Raw genomic sequence first — 20,133 nt, 5'->3', positions numbered from 1 at the left:
TGTTTGTGAGGGTATCTTCCCAAAACGTGTTTATTGCTCACTTCTTCGCATTGATTGCCATTTCACACCTGGAATATAATAATAATGACAATAATGATAATTGAATATGTAAATGCTACTAATAATAAATGACAATAGCTATGCTCTTTTGAGCTCTAACTCTACCCCAGGCACTCCCCTAAGCACCTTCATGCATTCTCATTTAGTCTTCATAACCACTCTGAGAGGTAAGTATTATTATTATTCCCATTATTATTCCTATTTTAGAGATGAAAATCTGAGGCTTAAATAAATCAATTAACCTGACCTTGGCCACAGGGCTGTTGGGATCTGAACCAGGCAGTTTCACTCCAGAGTCTGTGATGGGACACAGGCATTGGCACTTCTCGCGCCTGGAGAAATGCTGACCAGTTTCTGTAGGAGGAGTGCATCGGGCTGGAAAACATGATTTCATCCACAGCAGAAAATGCTGCTTCCAGAGAGACCTTCTGTCTAATCTGCTTCCCCATTGCTTTCTCTTCGAGTTCCTTTGAGCCTTCTTACCTATGGATTCAAATGCCCCTGGGTCACTAAGTCAAGTGCATAATTCTATCACGCAGTGTGCACTGAGGGGAAAATATTCTTATTTGGAGAGTAAAAACCCATCTACTATCGTGTACAAGCTCAGCAACAACTTCTCAATTACCTGTTCATTTTATTTAAAACAACAGTCAATAAAAACAGCAAGAAACTTTCTTTGAAGGAGGTAAGGGCTGATCTGCCTGGAGCCAGGGAATAATACCTTTTTTCTTGGGTTCCCATTTACTTTGGATATGTCAGTTTTGGACCTTAAAGGTGTGGACGGCATAAAGTGGTAAGTTTTGAAATGATTTTTGGAGTTTATATTAGAGAAAGGTACTTTTCAGGAAGCTGGTCATCTTATGCTAAATGGCATTTTCTCCCTGCCCCCACCTCTGTCCAAAATTAATGAATTATTTCATTATTTCTTTTTTTTTTTTTTTTTTTTTTTGAGATGGAGTCTCGCTGTGTCACCCAGGCTGGAGTGAAGTGGGGCAATCTCAGCTCACTGCAACCTCTGCCTCCCAGGGTCAAGCAATTCTCCTGTCTCAGCCTCCCGAGTAACTGGGATTACAGGCACGTGCCGCCATGCTCACCTAGGTTTTTTGTATTTTTAGTAGAGACAGGGTTTCATCATGTTGGCCAAGCTGGTCTTGAACTCCTGACCTCAGGCAATCTGCCCGCCTCAGCCTCCCAAAGTGCTGAAATTACAGGTGTAAGCCACAGCACCCGGCCTTGTTATTTCTTTATTAATGACCAAGGCGTCTCTGATTCAACACCGAAAGTTTGAGTTAGATCATAGAAATCTTTGTTTAAATATGTATATACATACTTACGTATGTGTTATATATGTAGACCTATGTATATATACATATTCTATAACCTATCTATTCTATATCTATTATGTACAGATATGTAAAAAATATAGCTTTAATTGGGAAAATTTGCACTGGATGAAGCACTTTAAAATTCTTCTCCCATGCCCCAGTACTGTCAAGTTTTTGCCTAGAGCAACGTACTGACTTTTTGAGTTCTGCTGGATCCTGCCTAGAGAAACCGCTTGTCATTTCAAAGTTGCATTTATATTTCCATACACTTTTTGAATATTTCGTTTTGGAAAGAGTAACTCCACCTGCTTCTTTTTTCCACATGTGTACATCAAAGGTGAAGCTGGGATGTGTCCTCTTTCCTCTTAACCCCCTAGCTCAGGACCTGGTAAATACAGCAAACGGGGAGTGAGTTTCTCAAATGCCTGGCTGTGTCTGCCCTGTGGCTGCCCCGAGATGGGGTGGTGGAATAGCAAGAGGAGCCTTGCCAGCCTGCAGGACTCAGGTGCTGCTGAGCCCTCCAGTTACCACGACTACAGCGCTTTCCAGCAGGTGAGGAGTTTTGATAAATGTGTGGTACACATTTCTGCAAACAAAGCCATTTATTTTAGGCCAAAGCATTTGTAGCAAAATGTAGATAATATATCTAGAATGTGTCAAATGGAATGCTTTCATTACATATTTTTGGATTGATTTCTTAGGTTGCACATTTATAAAGTAAAAGCCTTGTTATCTTAGATTTCTCAGCTAACTCTTTGCCATTAACTGCAAACAAGATGTATGGACTAAGTGTGTGGAGGCTGTCTCAGGAACCTGAGCCCATCTGGGAGAAATATTTTAGGTCATTACTGAAGGGAATCAGTGCCTTGAGGGTCCTTTCTCAATGCCCTAAGGTCTTGGGACAGAAAAAATGTTTTTGTTGGGCCACAGTTGCCACTAAGTGGTATCTATTATATGATGAGCCAAAGACCTGGAAAACCGTCCCCAATCCCCAATCCCTCTCCCCTTCACCCAAAAGAAAATACTGGTTCCTGAAATTCTCATTAAAAATGGAATCCTTTTGGTTGGGTTAGCATGGCTCTTGGAGGAAAGGCCAATCAGGACAGGAGCGGTGGCTCCCACCTGTAATATCGGCACTTTGGGAGGCCGAGGTGGGCGGATCACCTGAGGTCGGAAGTTTGAGACCAGCCTGGCCAACCATGGCCAACATGGTGAAACCCCATCTCTACTAAAACTACAAAAATTAGCCAGAAGCAGTGGCGGGCACCTGTAATCCCAGCTACTCAGGAGGCTGAGGCAGGAGAATTGCTTGAACCCGGGAGGCAGAGGTTGCAGTGAGCCAAGATTGTCGAGATTGTGCCACTGCACTCCAGCCTGGGCGACAGAAGGAGACTCCATCTCAAAAAAGGAGAGAGAGAGAGAAAGCCAATCAACCCAGAAGGACCAGCCCAAAGCTTGTGCTTGGGATTAACCTTTAGTAGGATTTATCTGTTCAGGGGCTGGCCGGCACAGGTGGCCTAGGGATCCGGCACCACACATGAGAGTCAAACTTCCAAAGGAAGACGGGGGGAGGAGAGAGAGAGATGCTGGACAATGTTGCCCTGGAAAGGCCTGGAGAATCATGGGTACCAAAGGGGCAGCCTCTAAGCCTGGAGATCTAGGGCATGTTAGCCACTTACCTCTGCAGAGGGCCAGATCTTATTTGCCTTCAAGTGATTTCTGACATATTTCCAAGTGCAAAATAAAACTTTCTTCTTTGAGAATATTAATGAATGTTCCTGTATGTGTCCTAGGTTTCTATAAGACAAGGATGTTTTGGACATGTTCAAGCCCCCAGAACTGGCTGCACCCCGTGTGCCTTTCTCTCAGTGCAGCAACTTATGGGCTAATAATGGCCCCTGCCAGAGCATATTGTGCTGGGCGGTCACGGGTGGCAGAAACTACTGGCCTCTCTTTTGACAACCCACAGGAAACATTTGCACCTCCAGCACTTTCCGCTCAAAGTGCTCCATGGTAGCAACACCTGTGTGTGGTGCAGAAGCTGGGGCTACACTGCTTTATAACTCGTCTTTCTATCTGACCTCTGGAGTCCAGTGAAAGACCAAAACTTTACTGCTGTCCATGTTCGGTAAGCAAACTTAAAGGTTTAAAATTCCTTATTCGAACTCCATTTAGAATTCAAATAGTCATTAGCAGGAGCAAGCATTTTCTTCTTAAGGATCTATGTTAGTGAAATTACAATGAAGCTTTTATTTATAACTTGCCAAATAATCAATTTACCCTGTTGAGAAATAACATGTTGAAAGAATAACATGTTAAAGAAGGACAAATTGGGCCGGGCGATATGGCTTACATCTGTAATCCCAGTACTTTGGGAGACTGAGGAGGGAGGATTGCTTGAGGCCAGGAGTTGGATCCTCCCTGGCCCCAGAAACATAGCGAGACCCTGTCTCTATAAAAAAGAAAAAAAAAGAAAAAAAGAAAATAAAGGACAAGTTACTTACGTCATTGTTCCTGTTAGAATGGCGACACAGATAATTTAGTTAAAACGTATCTTTAACCTTTTTTTTGCATGCGTGATTAATCTGTGAGTCTCTGATTATAGCTGGTTGAATATTTCCCCCTAAATAATTGGTTTTGAGCATTAATAATAGGCCTTTATGTTGATGACAATTGTTATGACTTTATTCATGTGCAATAAAGCCCTTATAATAGATTATACAATTAACTTTCTACAGTTGAAATAAGTGAAATATAAATGGTTTTAGAGGGATCCAATTGGAATTAAGTTAAAGCACATTGACTTCTTCCAGTTTAGGACCGTATAACAGTTTTGAATATATTTTTCATTATTTGAAACCTTTTTCTTCTAGCATGTAGTAATGGTGGGAGAACTAAATGACACTGAAAATTCTGGAAATGAGGAGAAACAGACTAAAGCCACGGGCACCGGATGAATGAAGAGAGAGAAGAGTGCTTTAGGTAAGCCTCTGGTTAGACCTAACTTTAATAAGCTCTACTTGAGAAAGGGGGCACATGGCCTTTCCTGGGGTACTATGGCTTCATTCATGTCACCCTGAAATTGCACAGTTCCTCTGAGCATAGTGGTATTAATTAGGGTGGGAGGTTAAACAAAATAAGCAAAATTAACAAAGCATTTGTCCTTCTATGTAGCAATGTTCTAGAAAAATCTTAATGGATTTCACTAATTTAAATGTCACAACACAATTAACTTTGTTTTTCCATCTCTTCTAGATTGTGGGTGCATCCTAATTTTTCTTATAGTTATAAGTTATAAAAAGTGTTGACTATTTCATATACACAATTAGTATTGTAATTACCACAACTGTGGATAAAAATGTCATCTCTTGTTTATCTTCTCACACTGTTACTTGTGAATTGTGGAGTGTGATGTGTAGAGCTGTTTTGGGAGGTGGGATACAGGTAGGACCCCTAACCAAGAAGCCTGGCTCACAGAGAGGGTGCCTTACTCCACATTAAATGTTCACAGTCCTTTGCCTCACTGTCTAATTGAGAAGAATATTAGTACATCACGAGCTCAATCCCAAGTAAATTTCCAAATGGGAAGTCTTACAACACTTTTGGAAGATACGTGGATGAGGCTTTTAGGTGACTTGTAAGTCTTTTTTTTTTTTTTTCTTGAGACAAGAGTCTCACTCTATCACTCAGGCTGGAGTGCAGTGATGTGATCTCGGCTCACTGCAACCTCCGCCTCCCAGGTTCAAGTGATTCTCCTGCCCCAGCCTCCTGAGTATGGGACTACAGGTGCACACCACCACGCCCGGCTAATTTGTATTTTCAGTAGAGATGGGGTTTCACTGTGCTGGCCAGGCTGGCCTCAAATTCCTGACCTCAAGGGATCTACCCGCCTGGGCCTTCCAAAGTAAATCAGCTTTATGCATTTAAATTTAATCAACGATTAACTTTAAATTGCGCCTGGCTGGATTTGTTAGTCTTAACGCCAAAGCTTTATTCCAATCTTCCCAGGGGCACTATGGGCCCAGAGCCAGCATGGTCTGGAAAATGAAACTTTGTAGCCACAGGCGGAGAGAGTGGAGAATGTTTCTTTTTTATTAAAAGGAGAAGGCCAGTAGTGGTGGCTCACCTCTGTAATCCCAGCACTTTGAGAGGCCGAGGTGGGTGGATCACTTGAGGTCAGGAGTTTGAGACTAGCCTGGCCAACATGGTGAAACCCTGTCTCTACTAAAAATACAAAATTAGCTGGGCATGGTGGCGGGCACCTGTAATGCCAGCTACTCGGGAGGCTGAGGCAGGAAAATCGCTTGAACTTGCGAGGTGGAAGTTGCAGTAAGCCAAGATCGTGCTATTGTACTCCAGCTTGGGTGTCACAGTGAGACTCCGTCTCAAAAAATAAATAAATATAAATAAATTAAGTCTGGGCGCGGTGGCTCATGCCTGTAATTCCAGCACTTTGGGAGGCCGAGGCAGGTGGATCACAACATCAAGAGATTGAGACCATCCTGGCCAATATAGTGAAACCCCATCTTTACTAAAAAAACAAAAATTAGCTGGGCGTGGTGGCAGGTACCTGTAGTTCCAGCTACTTGGGAGGCTGAGGCAGGGGAATCGCTTGAACCCGGGGGGCGGAGGTTGCAGTGAACCAAGATCACACCACTGCACTCCAGCCTGGTGACAGAACGAGACTCCATCTCAAAAAATAAAAAAAAAATAATAATTAATTAAATTTTTTTTAAAAAGGGAAAAGAAAAGGGAAAACAAAATCCCAAGTCCCGTTTGTATGAACATTTATATGAAAATTTTATCCAACTACAAAAACACATTTTTGTGTTAAATGTGTTTTGTGATAAAGGAAACCGAATATGGACTAGTGTTCAGATGATATCACAGAATCATTAATATTTTTAGGAGGGATAATAGCCTTGTGGTTATGAAGGAAAATGTTCTTCTTTTTAGGAGATACTTGCTGAAGGGCTAAGCGTTATGTCTACAATTTATCTTCCACATATATTGAAAACTTAGAGAAAAAAGCAAATGTGGTAAATATTAGAAGTAGTTAAATTTAGATACTGGGTGTATGGGTAGTCATTGAACTAGTAATTAAAGGTCTGTGAATCAGTTGGAATTGCTTCTGGCTGCAAATAAAACTCAACTGACAAGAGTTTCAATTTTAAGAACCTTCAACCTTGGCTAAACAAGAATTGCAGCTGTTGTCCATTTAGTGTTGGTGCAGCCACTCAGTGATGCCATTGAGACCCCATGTTGATCTATCCATCTGCCTTGTCATTTTCAGCAGATTGGCTTCTGACACTGTCAATTCATGATTGCAAGACAGCTGCTGCAGCTGTAGGCACTGTCACACTCCCAGACAGGATGTGGGTGGGGAAGAGCAAAAGCAAACTCTCCTCTTGCACTTGCATCATTTATCAGAAAGCAGATTCTTTCCCTGAAGCCCCCAGGAGACTTCTACTTATACCTCACTGGCCAGAATGGTCCTATGCCAATCCTAGCTACAGGGTAGTCTAGGGAAGGAAATCACCACGTGGAATTTATATCTACTGTGATTCATCCCCTTGGGCTACAGGTGTACTGTCACCCTGAACAAAAGTGGTGTTAACAAAAAAAAAAAAAAAAAAAAGAAAGTTAAAAAAAAGGAGAAAATGGAAGCTGTTTGTCATTGGCTAAATAGATACCCTTTTTCTCTGGAAGGGAAATTGTTCTGTTCCACAAGATATCAGAAATGATTTTTAAATGAAACTAAAACTCTTGCCACATGACATCAGATTGATGTTTAACAGAAAGATAAATGGTGCCTGAAAGGAGTTTTAGTTTCTTGTTCTTCTTTAGCTCAGGAAAAACAGAAAGTTTTTAGCTATCTATGGAAACTATTTTTGCTTAACTTTCGATTTTGGTAATACATTTCAATATACAGTTTACTTCCCACAATTGTTTTCATTGTGATAGACATTGTGAGGCAGAACAGAATATTTATTTCTACTCATCATATTATTAGCCACCGTTTGTTGAGTGTCCCTTATATGCAAGGCATTATAATAGGTGGTTACATCTTCTCTCATTTATGTAAGAGGATGTGCCTGGCTGTTACAAAAAGCCCTAGATCAAGTCTGAGTCATCAGACTTAATAAAGAAGAAGAAAACGGAAAGTTTTCAACAACCATTCTAATTTCTACTTCATTCCCAGCCTGTGTGAGGCCACTATAATAAGATACTCTTGACATCTGGGCTCTTAAAATGGAAATCCATTTATTGGTTAAAACAAAGAACAGCCATAACTAGAATTCCCTTCTGTTCCCTTCCCTATCCCTTGGCCCAAGGGTAGGGTTTCTTTTAGAAAGGAAGCAAGACACTCATTGTAGAGTCTTAGCTCAGTAATAGCCACCTAACCATCACTGGGGGCCACAGTCATGTGTCCTGGAAAGGCATAGAAGGCGTGACCTATGCCCAGAAGGTTTCTGTGTGTGAAGTCCTTCATCATGAGGCCATTTGGTGATGATTTAGCATGTGGTGTGGATGACTGAGGTCCAGCTTCTAACTCTGGTTGACTGCCGAGAGATGCCGTGAAGTGCTGTGTTGTTTTCTGGAGTCTTAGCAAAGAAGAGAAGCATAGGCTGACAGCACTCTTGGCCTACCCCATGGCTCTTGGCCATTTGTTGTCTCAGGTAAGCCTAGTTAAAGAGAAGCCCAACAGAGCCAAGGCTGGCAGAGAGGACCAAGAGGCTATAGACTGGTGGGTTGAAGTGAAGGTAGTGGGTACACCACTGGGAAACTAGACACTGGTTTCTGAAGGAAGAAACCATTCAGAAGGAGAAGGGCCAGAGGAACCTATGAACATCCAGGTCAGGAGATGAAAGTTAGATCAACGTCTGGCAAATTAGCAGAGAGTAGACATGGACAGAGAGCAGAGCAATGCCTGGGTGGAGCTTGTAGAGTCTCCTACTGCGTGTTCCTTCATTTAACAAAGATTTTGTTAGTATATACTATGTGCCAGAAACTGTTCTAGGTACCAGAAATATAGTAGTGAACAAAACAGACAAAGATTCCTGCCCCTCATTCTCCGTGTAGTCATAATTTGTTTTTTCCACTTACATTCTAGTGAGGAAAACAAATTATAAACAAGATGTATGAATAAATTATAAGTAAATTATGTAGTATGTTAGTGGCAAATAGTAAGCAAAAAAATAATGCAGCAAAAAGAGATAAAGGAGTGTAAAGATGCTGTGCTTACAACATAGTGGCCACTAGCCTTGTGTGGCTGATGATATTTAAATTAGTTAAAGTTAAAAATTCCATTTCCATGTCATACAAGCCACATTTCCAGTGCTCAAAAGCCTCATAGTGGCCATCCTATTGGACAGTGAAGATAAAGTTTCATCAAGCACAAAGTTCTGTTGGTCAGTGCTTTTATAAAGGGTGCAATATTTAGGTGGGGTGGGTAGGGAAGGTCCTACTGCAAAGATAACTTTTAAATAAAGACCCAATGGAGTTGATGGGGTTGATGGGCTGATGGCCTGACTCCTGAGCCTGCCTAGAGGAAGAGTATTCCAGACAGAGGGAATGGCAAGTGCAAAGGTTCGGGAGATGGGAGTGAAGTCCATGTGGCTGGAGCATAGTCGATGGGGTAGGGTAGTAGAGGAGGTCAGAGAAGTGAATGGAGGGAACAGATCCTGAGGCCCTTGTGGACCTTTGTAAGGACTTTGTATTTTACCCTACGTGAGATGAGAACCATTAGAGGTTTTGAGCAGAGGAGTTTCATGATCTGACTTAGATTTTTAATAGAACCCCTCTCGCTGCTATGATGAGGATAGATTGAAAGTGGGCCAAGGCACAGATAGGGGATAAGTGAGGGGATATTGCAATAACCCTGGAAAGAGGTGGGGGTGTTTAGGCTGGTAGCAGTGGTGGTGGTGAAAAGTAATCAGATTCAGGATATTCTTTTGAAGGCTCAGGCAACATGATGCCTGACTGGGGTGTAGGGTTTAAAAGAGAGAACAGATGAAGGTTTTCTGGTCTGAGCAACAGGAAGAATGGAGTTTTCACTCACTAAGATGGGGAAGCCGGGGGTGGAACGAGTTTGAATGGAATAAGATCAGGAGTTCCGTTTTGGACATGTTAAATGTGATACGCCTACTCAGGCTCCCATGGATGTTGGACAAGTGGTGGTTGCTGGACTTAGAAATTTGGGACTTGTCGGCCTTGTGGTATTTTAAATCATGAGGCTGGTGATATCCTTAAAGGAGTGGGTTTAAATAGAAAATAGAAGAGGTGGCCAGGCTCACTCCTGTAATCCCAGCCCTTCGGGAGGCCAAGGCAAGTGTATTGCTTTAGTCCAGGAGCTTGAGACCAACCTGGGCAACATGGTGAAACCCTGTCTCTACTAAAAATAAAAATTAAGAAATAGCCAGACATGATAGTGCATGCCTGTAATCCCAGCTACTCAGGAGGTTGAGGTGGGAGAATCATCTGAGCCCGGGAGCTCAAGGCTGCAGTGAGCCGAGATCACACCACTGTAATTCAGTCTCGGCAACCAGAGTGAGACCCTGTCAAGAAAGGAAAGAGAAGGGAAGGGAAGGGTAGAGGAGGAGAGGGCAGGGGAGGAGAGTGGAGGGGAGGGGGTCCAAGACCAGATGCTTGAGGACGCTAAAGATAGGAGGTTGGTAAAGGAGGCAATAGAAGGAGCAGCCAGTGTTGGAAGAGAAAAGCCAGGAGAAGGGGGTGCATGAAGCTTAGTGAGGCAGGGTTCACAAAGGAGGAAGGGAGCAAGGTGTCACATGCAGAGATGAGCACTCAGAACTGACAGCTGGATTGCACCCTGTGGGGGGTAATTGATGACCTTGTGAGGAGTAGATATGTTGAGAGATGGGGATGAAAGTTGTTCACAGTGGGTTGAGGGAGAATTGAAGCAAGAACAAATGATCCTTTCAAGATATAAAGGTGAGTAGAGAGCTGGGGTAGTAGCCAAGAGAAGAACAGGGAGGCCAAGAGAAAGTTATTGTTGCTGTTTTTGTTTTTTTGTGTTTTTTTTTTTTTGTTTGTTTTTCAAATGATCCTTTATTGAAATATTTTCCTTTGTGCTTCTTAATTAGCTGGGCATTCCACAGCACCACCGTTGATGTCATCTATGATATCATGAGGGTGGCAGCCATCAACATTGCAGCCCACAGACTGGGGAGTCCCCAGGATCTCTTTAATGATTCCAGAGAGTTCTCTGGCTAAAGATCGGTGCCACATGTGTTGAGCAACATTGACAATCTCATCAAAAGTGATATTTCCACTGTGTTTAATGTTTTTCTGTTTCTTTCTGTCTCTTGGCGGTTCCTTGAGGGCTTTGATGATCAGGGCAGAGGCAGAAGTCACCACCTCAATCTGGGCCTCTCTGTTCTAAATGATCAGTTTCACTGTAATCCTCAGATCCTTTCAGTCACCAGTTGCTTTAGCAATGTCATCACCAACCTTTTCTGAAGACAGACCTAGGGGGCTGATCTTGGGGGCCAACACAGACGTGGCACCCACTTCATCCCCAGTACACCTTAGGTATGTGACTTTGATCTCATTGGGGTAGAACTTCGGCAGCATGGCAGAGGTGGCTAGATTCAGGACGACCCAAGAAAGTTGCACCTTGGCCTCCTCCCAGCTGAAAGCTGAAAGCCTTGTTGCTGTTTTTTGAAGAGATTCTTGGAATAACAGCTTGTTTGTAAGACCTAGTAAAGAGAACGTTTGAGGACACATGAGCAGGGGGGAAGAAAGACTGGAGGGAAGAGGGATGTGGGGGGGAATTGGTCTGTGCCAGGAGCCTGGAGACAGGAGGAGTGGCAGAGCCCAGGGCCTGGGTGCAGGCAGGGGGGCAGGTGTGGGGATGAGAGCTCAAGGAAGTCCTCTCCCATGCTTTTTAGATCTTTAGTGACACAGGAAACACAGTCATCAGTGCAGAGTGAGTGTGGGAGAATTTTCAGGAGAGAAGAGAGGTCATTTAGGGAAGTGGGAATGTCAGTGGACACGAGAAATGCAGTCCAATGGCAGCCCAGCCCAAGGACCAACCTGGTGCTGAGACTTTGAAGGGAGACTAGCCAGTGAGGAGTGATCTTCTCCTGGCCAGACCCTCTACCCAGACTGGGCCAGATGGAAGATCCTGACACATTCCAGAGAATTCCTGCTGTGGCAGGCTAGCTCCCAAGAAGCTCTTTCCACCAGCCGATGGGCCAGTGGGGTTGGCTTGAGCAGACTGTGGTTCCAGCACTTTAATGCAGTTTCTGTCACTGGAGGATTTGTCCAGTGCTGGGGTGTGGAGTGACAGCAAAACCCTGATGCCTCAGGCATGGCTGAAGTGCTGAAGCACAGAGGGTGCACCTGGGGAGAGGCCACAGGGTTGGTGACCTCTGCGGGTGTGAATGACCCCAGGCACTGTTTCAGTGTTGGGGTGGGTGGCTGGGTAGTGCTCCTGTGTCAGGGGTTGACATGTCCAGAGTCAATGTCCTTCCTCAGTGCCATATGCCAACCTTTAGGTTCCAGAGGGCCTTTTGAGTGACCTGCCATGGTTCCTCCATGACTAGCTTCTGGGGTGATGGGGTGGCACCTCACCCTGTCTAAGCTGAAACTTATCACACTGGGTTGTAATTCATGGTCTATTTGCTGTTATCCCTGGGCTGTAAGTGTAAGAACCCTCTCCAACTTTCTTACCACTTTATCCCCAATGCCTGGCAAAATACCTAAATACATGAATACATACAAGAGGGCAGGTGAGAAGGAAGGATGGGAGGAAGGAAGAGGGAAGGAAGGAAAAAAGAAGGGAAAGAAAAGAAAGGAAGGGAGGAGGGGAGGAAGGAAGGAAAGGGTAGATATGGAATCCCTGCCACTATAGCAGGGCTATTCTGCTGAGGGTTGCAATGATGGATCTGAATCAGTGGTAGCCTCCATAGGGGATGTGGCGATGAGGTAGGGTAGAAGGCAGTGGGTGCCATAAAGAGGGCTTTCAGCAGGGCTCTCTAAAACCAGGAAGACACACATGAGATTGCAGGGCATAACCAGGAAGACTGGGATGCCACTGCCTGGCCAGATGGGGGTCTGATCCACTCTCCTAAATGACCTCTCTTCTCTCCTGAAAACTTTCCCACACTCACTCTGCACTGATAACTGTGTTTCCTGTGGCACTAAAGATCTAAATCAGAACCGCATTTCTGACCCCCATTTATGACCCCCATTTCTGATGGGCATCAGAAAGGTGAAAATAAGGAGTGATGGTCAGGATGGGCAAGAGGAAGCAGGAAAGGAGTCCTGGCAAGTAGCTGAGACAGGCCCTGGCCCCCAGCTCTGTGGGGAAGGTGCAGGGTGAGTGTGTTGAAAGGCTGGAGAGGAGGCCGCCTGCAGCTGGGAATCCACAGAGGGCTGTATTAGTCCATTTTCACACTGCTGATAAAGACATACCTGAGACTGGGAAGAAAAAGAGGTTTAATTGGACTTACAGTTCCACATGGCTAGGGAGGCCTCAGAGTCATGGTGGGAGGTGAAAGGCTCATCTTACATGGTGGCGGCAAGAGAAAATGAGGAAGAAGCAAACGCAGAAACCCCTAATAAACCCATGAGATCTTGTGAGACTTATTCACTACCACAAGCATAGCGCAGGAAAGACTGGCCCCCGTGATTCAATTACCTCCCCCTGGGTCCTTCCCACAACACGTGGAAATTCTGGGAGATACAATTTGAGATTTGGATGGGGACACAGCCAAGCCATATCAGGGCACAGCAGCTTTGGTGATCCACCGCTCCTTCCTGCTCCTCCCAGGTAAAGGGGAGTCTCTCTCCAGACTTGATTCATCCCTTCCCTTTCTTATTCCTCTCCGACTTTCGCACCTTCCACCCCAACCTCTGGATTTTGTCTGCAGTTATCCTTTCTCTTTTCAATAGGCCTCTGTACCCACTGTTCTCCCAACCTGGAGAGCTGTCTCTACCCCTAATCCTCACTTGCTAGTTCAGTTCCTTCTTGGCCCTCAGATTTTGCCGTGGGGCAACTTCCTGCCATTTTTACATACTTTCATTGCATTCTGGGCTACTTCCTTTATGGCACATATATCAATGGAAATGCCTTGCTTATTTCTCTATTTCTAGACTTAAGAAAAGGGATACAGGTGGATATTTCCCTAGCGGTCCCTCAGTGACAAATGAATGAAGACAACTTTGTCAAAAGAAAACAAAATCCCTGAGAATCCCCTAACTTGGTGCCTGTATTTTTATCCAGCACTGGTGTACTCTCTAAAAGCAAATTCATGCTAAACAGCATTTTACTCTTTCTGATTAGCTGGCAAAATTTGCTCCAAATAAATAATGTATATATATTTATTGTTTAATAATGCTCGTGGTTTAAATACATGTGTTTTAGGAGCAACTTTGATTTACCTCATGAGTCCAAGATTTTTTATTTTTATAAGTTGTGCCTTATGAATGTGGGTAAGAGAGGAATCAAAATGAAATTAATCTTTTATCTTTGGATGGTTAAGAGAACTGCAATATTAAGGACATTAGGATGTCTCAAAATATTAGATGCAAAAATGTGTATTTTTGTTTAAATATGTTTGAATTATCAAATATAGAACAAATAGAGGAAGGTGGCTGGGTGTAGTGGCTCATTCCTGTAATCCCAGCATTTTGGGAGGCCAAGGTGGGCTGATCACTTGAGGTCAGGAGTTCAAGACCAGCCTGGCCAACATGGTGAAACCCCCGTCTCTAATTTATTTATTTATTTATTTATTTATTTGAGATGGAGTCTCACTCTGTCACGCAGGCTGGAGTGCAGTGGCGCTATCTTGGCTCACTGGAACCTCTGCCTCCCAAGTTCAAGCGATTCTCCTGCCTCAGCCTCCAGAGTAGCTGGGACTACAGGTGCACGCCTCCACGCCTGGCTAATTTTTTATATTTTTAGTAGAGATGGGGTTTCACCATATTAGCCAGGATGGCCTCGATCTCCTGACCTCATGATCCACCTGCCTCAGCCTCCGAAAGTGCTGGGACTACAGGTGTGAGCCACAGTGCCCGGCCAACCCCATCTCTATTAAAAATACAAAAATTAGCTGGGTGTGGTGGCGCATGACTGTAATCCCAGCTACTCAGGAAGCTGAGGCAGAAGAATCACTTGAACCCAGGAGGTGGAGGTTGCAGCAAGCTGAGATCATGCCACTGCCCTCCAGCCTGGGCGACAAGGGTACTCCATCTAAAAAAAAAAAAGCAGGTACATAAAAACATATGTGTTGGAATAAATATAATAAATAATTATAAAGGCTGGGTGTGGTTGCTCACACTTGTAATCTCAACACTTTGGGAGGCTGAGGTGGGAGTATTGCTTGAGCCCAGGAGACCAGCCTGGGCAACATAGTGAGACCCCATCTTTTTTATACATAAAAAAAAAATAACTGGGCATCCTGGTGCATGCCTGTAGTCCTGGCTACTTGGGAGGCTTGAGGTGGGAGGATCTCTTGAGCCTGGGAAGTTGAGGCTGCAGTGAGCTATGATTGCACCATTGCACTCAGCCTGGGAGAACGCGTGAGATCCAGTCTCAACATAATAATGATAATAATTTGTATATTATTTTATAAAATTTTTATTTTATTATTATTATTGTAGGAATACTTTGAAGCCTAAGATGGTGGCATCTTCCTTTAGAGATAACTTTAACTAGCTTCTACCAGATGCATAGTGGACACTAGTCATTTGGTAACACTTTAATCCATGTTCAAGGTTTGAGATTTCCTGGCCCATTGGGATGAGGCAGAACTGGACTACAAGTCCATGTGAGGGTCAGTTTACTTCAGGTTTACCCTTGCTTACATTTAGGATGTAATTACATGGGAATCTCAGCTTAAAATGGGAACTGGTTTATCTCAGTCCCCATCTTTGGTAGCATGGACTTCCATAGTCTGTCTTTCTGAGGACAACAAACCTGCTGTTGTATTTCACAGCTGTTGCTTCGGAATCAGCAGATGTCCTCAGGGCATTGTGGGCTTTGTTCTTGGAGGTCTCATGTTCTTCCAAGTGTTTGTCTGATATTTTCTCATTAGCTTGTTGACTCTGTGGAGCTTTTAAGATTTTAAAATACATTCTCTCCAGCTTTTAAAATTTATAACTATATTGCACAAAAATAAAGTTATAGATGTACTGCATAAAAGTATAATTTTGACATTCTGTCTTGTAATCCTGCATATTACATGTCCCTGGGGAGAAATGCATCTTTCTGGATTTTAACTTTGATCCATCTTTTAGGTCAATGATGAAAACATGCTTTGCCTGTACTGCCTTGCAGGGAGATCAAATGTGGCACTTTGCCATGTCTGTCTTCCTGGTAGAATTATATGGACATAATCTGCTTTTATCAGCAGTGTTTGGCTTAGTGGTGGCTGGATATGTATTAATATTTGGGGTCTTAATTGGTGATTGGATTGAAAAGAAACCAAGAAATAAAGGTAACACTCTTAACTGTGACATACATATTTATGTGGTACATTATGACTTCACTGGCTTTTTTGGTTTATTTAGTGAAATAAAATTCATAAATTGCTATGAACTTAATAGCAAAAGAGCATAAGTTAAAAACTCTAGATGAAGTTATACAGCTTTGTGTCATCATTCTCTGATTCTACATGTAAAATATTTTAATGTAGTTTTTAGATTTTTGCTAAGTATAGGTTTTTAATATCAAATTCCTGAAAAGTGCTTTCTTTTTAATATTTTGGCATTACCTATGCATAATATACTTGTGTTGTTTTTATCAGAGGCAATTTATTTGTGTAAATGAGTTTTTGTACTGGGTAATCTGTCTAAACTAGTCATTAATATCTGGAGACTTATTTGTTCAAATGTAGATCTATTTTAGCTTTGGGCTATACTATCTCTTTAAGCGTCTTTGTCCAATAAGAATGTAGGCTATCCTAAGTTTTTCCTATTCCTTGATTTCTAGTCAACGTGACTGCCTTCCTTCTACCATGGAAGGTAGGACTTTTCTCCTTCTACCATGGAAAGGCATTCTCTGAAGCCACACCATTGAAAAGACTAGCTGATTGAAAATCTGGTGTGCTGGTCTTTACGCTAAATTGGTAAATTCAGTTACAAATTAAATCCAGAAGAGTGTGATGTAGCACTAGAACATTTTAAGTTTCTTGACTTACCTAGAATCCAGCTTTTCATATGATCCGTCTCTCAGATATGTTTTCATTCACTTGCAAAGTACAGCTTTTTTCTCTTTTGGTTGCAAAGGCTTTGTCTTTAGTGAGCTCAAGAGTCTGCTCTTTGCCTCTTAAGCCTGTGATCACCGATGGAAATGCTAACCCTGGTTGCACTGGGATTTGGTCTAATGCAACTGCTCTGCATTATTTTTTATTATATTTTATTTTTTTGAGACAGGGTCTCAATTTGTCACCCAGGCTGGAGTGCAGTGGCACAATCTCAGCTCACTGCAACCTCCGTCTCCCAGGTTCAAGTGATTCTCGTGCCTCAACCTCACGAGTAGCTGGAATTACAGGTGTGTGCCATCACGCCTGGCTAATTTTTGTATTTTTAGGAGAGACAGGGTTTTGCCATGTTGGCCAGGCTTGTCTGGAGCTCCTGACCTCAAGTGATCTGCCCGCCTTGGCCTCCCAAAGTGTTGGGATTACAGTTGTGAGCCACCGCACCCAGCCTCCTCTGCATTAAATGATGATATAGCTGTGAACTGCCTGTTAAAACTGAGAGTAGAGATTGGGCTGGGTGTTTCCATTCACAGTTGCTTATACCTCGCTCTGCATGCAGAACGCCTCCGTCACCGCCTGTTGCACTGTCCTGATGCTTGTGCTCCCCTACAAGAGGCAGATGGAACAAATCTGGGATGGCTGGCTCACTGTGAGTGTCTCCCATGTCCCTACGTCACAGACACCCTGAATGTCCACCAGTTAGTGTTTTCTTTGTGGCCACGCTCACTGGTTTTGGATCAGGCTAATCTTTCCTCAGTGTCCTCCTCTCCCCTAATTTGTGAGTCTGAGCTGAAATCCCACTGACATGAAGGCAATAGAACAGCAGAGTCTGTGTCTGCAAGGTGCAAATTAGCATCGGCTCTGGCTCTGATGGGGTGGGAGGAAGAAAATGCTTAGCATTAACACAGTAGAATTGGGCTCCAAACCTACATTGAATCTTTTTCTCTCTCAGGTCTTTGTGTTCATTTAGATGTTCCTTGAGCTGTCAGATAAATAACCTTATGCACTGCAGTGGGGCGGGAAAATCTATTCTTGGGTTCCATACACCCTTTCCCCTCCTTCGGTAGGTGGCCTGCTGTGCACTGGTGACCACCCTAGTGGCCTTGGCAAACCTGGCCGGCACGGCGCTGACCGTCACCATCCAGAGGGACTGGATCGTGAGCTGACGGGTGACAACAGAGGCCAGCTGGTTGGTGAGTGGTACCGCCCTGGGTACTGATCCTCTAATCAGCTGAGAAGTAGAGAGCTGACAAGGCAATCAGGGCTCTGAGAGAGGCTGACAACAGCCTTTAAGAATATGTTATTTGGAGTCAATGAGACCTGGGTTTGAGTCTGAATTCAGCTAAAATCAGCTGTGCCTCTTACTAGATGCATACTCCAGGGCAAGTTACGTGACTTTCCTCATCTGTATAATGAGGGAAATAAAGACACACACACACACACACACACACACACAGCTCAGCTTTGGGAAGGATTCTATAAGATATAGGATTTGGAAAGCACTTAACACTATGTCTGCATGTAGGAAGTGCCTAAAAAATGATTGGTACTGTATTATCTAAAGAATATATAGGCCAGGCGAGGTGGCTCACGCCTGTAGTAGTCCCAGCTACTCGGGAGGCTGAGGCAAGAGAAGTGCTTGAACCCGGGAGGTGGAGGTTGCAGTGAGCTGAGATCGCGCCACTGCACTCCAGCCTGGGCAACAGAGCAAGACTCTGTCTCAAAAAAAAAAAAAAAAAAAAAAAAAAAAAATATATATATATATATATATATATATATATATATATATATATATATATATATATAGGCTGTACTTTTAGGAGAGAAGCTTCTCAAAATGTATCACAGAGGTACCTTGGCAATTTTAGGCCTAGAAAATAAATAAATTAAAATATTTATTGGCCAGGCTTGGTGGCTCATGGCTGTAATCCTGGAACTTTGGGAGGCCAAGGTGGGAGGATGGCTTGAGGCCAGGAGTTCAAGGCCAGCCTGGGCAACACAGGAATACACTGTCTCTATAAAAGAAAAAAGAAGGCTGTGTGGGGTGGCTCACACGTGTAATCCAAGCACTTTGGGAGGCTGAGGCAGGTGGATCACCTGAGGTCAGGAGTTTGAGAATGGCCTGACCACATGCAGAAACCCTGTTTCTACTAAAAATACAAAATTAGCTTGTTGTGGTGGCACATGCCTGTTATCTCAGCTACTTGGGAGGCTGAGGCAGGAGAATCACTTGAACCTGGGAGGTGGAGGTTGTGGTGAGCCGAGATCGCACCATTGCACTCCAGCCTGGGCAACAAGAGCAAAACTCTATCTCAAAAAAAAAAAAAAAAAAAAAAAAAGATTTATATTTCTTAATTCTGGCCAGTGATAAGCTTCCACTTTAAAAAAAAAATTCATTTTCAAGCGTAACTGTCAATTATCATTGATAATAAAGGTAAACACAATTTTTTAAATAATGGAGTTAAATGAAAGAATCTGGCATTTTTGCTTTTTCTCCCATTTGCAAAACTTGGATCATTCACATTGAGATATATACACGTTGCCAACTTAAAGCTGAAGATCTCATCCTACTCTCTATTTGTGCGGTTGGTACTCTGCTAGAAAATGTTTGTGAGCACGGATGGCCAAGATAAAGGAAGCTATTAAGGAGGAGTCTATAGAAATCATGCCTTGCAAAAACTGGGAACCCCTTATAATCATGATTTCTTTTAAACTACACTTATTTGGATGTACTCTGGTTCAAATAACAGCACCTAAAATAAGACAGCTATGTGGATAAAAGCCAAGTAACATGGTATCGTCCATCTCCGGGTGAAGAATAGAAAGTCTTCCTATTCTTTGTTAATTAAATTTTTTTTTTAAAAAAAGATAAAGCACAGAATTTATTACAATTAAAAAATCTTGTAAATATATCCTTCGATGATGGTGGAATAGTTAAGATAATAAGCTTCATAGTCACACTGCTTGGGTTTGAATCTCAGCTCAGCCATGTGCCCTCTCTGTGACTTTGAACAAATAAAATCACCTATCTGTGCCTCAGTTTCCTAACTTGTGAAAGGGAAACACTATTGACCTGTAAGAGTTGTTGTGAGGATTGAAATGAATAGATGTAGAAAGCTTAAAACTATCGCCTGGCACAGAGTAAGTGTTCAACTAATTCTGTCCTCTACCCTCCTCTTGTCACCTTTCTCCCCGACAAACATGTTGGTTATAATAATGGCTGTTAGTACTATTATAGTTGTTAAGATAATGGGTTGTGTTGGGAAAGAGTGCTGAGATGGGAGTTAAAATAATTAGCTACAAGTAACACAGTCTGTCTGTTTCTCAGTTTATTTATGTTAATTGTCCATGTTCCAATAGAATTGATCTTGAAGGTCTTTTCCTGGTTGCAAATCCTATGGCTAATCTATAGTTAAACCCAAAGGGATCTTTCCTGTTTTCACCATAACTGCATGGCTAGCAAATCTAGCAAATGCATGATGTTAAATTCACCAGAAGGAAGGACTCACCCATTAAGTTGC

The 20,133-nt window shown here is 43.1% G+C and overlaps 2 long non-coding RNA genes and 1 pseudogene across 4 annotated transcripts; 1 reads left to right on the top strand and 2 right to left on the bottom strand.

Moving 5' to 3' along the window:
- Window positions 1-16: 16 nt before the first annotated feature.
- Window positions 17-3,128, bottom strand: LOC124901600 (uncharacterized). Its single transcript, XR_007060251.1, has 3 exons — window positions 3,065-3,128; window positions 308-543; window positions 17-68 (listed from the first exon to the last, which is right to left on the bottom strand). It is a non-coding gene; the product is annotated as an uncharacterized LOC124901600 (long non-coding RNA).
- On the top strand, window positions 1,449-18,181 carry LOC107986776 (uncharacterized). Of its 3 annotated transcripts, none has more exons than XR_001745119.2 (5): window positions 1,449-1,937; window positions 3,179-3,513; window positions 4,259-4,367; window positions 17,172-17,261; window positions 17,680-18,181. It is a non-coding gene; the product is annotated as an uncharacterized LOC107986776 (long non-coding RNA). The 3 variants fall into 3 exon arrangements; XR_007060249.1 differs by having other exon boundaries at window positions 17,146-17,261; XR_007060250.1 differs by having other exon boundaries at window positions 1,450-1,937; window positions 3,355-3,513.
- On the bottom strand, window positions 10,440-11,051 carry RPL12P10 (ribosomal protein L12 pseudogene 10; annotated as a pseudogene).

Source organism: Homo sapiens, chromosome 7 (assembly GCF_000001405.40).
Source record: "Homo sapiens chromosome 7, GRCh38.p14 Primary Assembly".
In the NCBI taxonomy this organism is placed as follows: Eukaryota; Metazoa; Chordata; class Mammalia; order Primates; family Hominidae; genus Homo; species Homo sapiens.
This window is presented reverse-complemented; position numbering and strand designations above follow the sequence as displayed.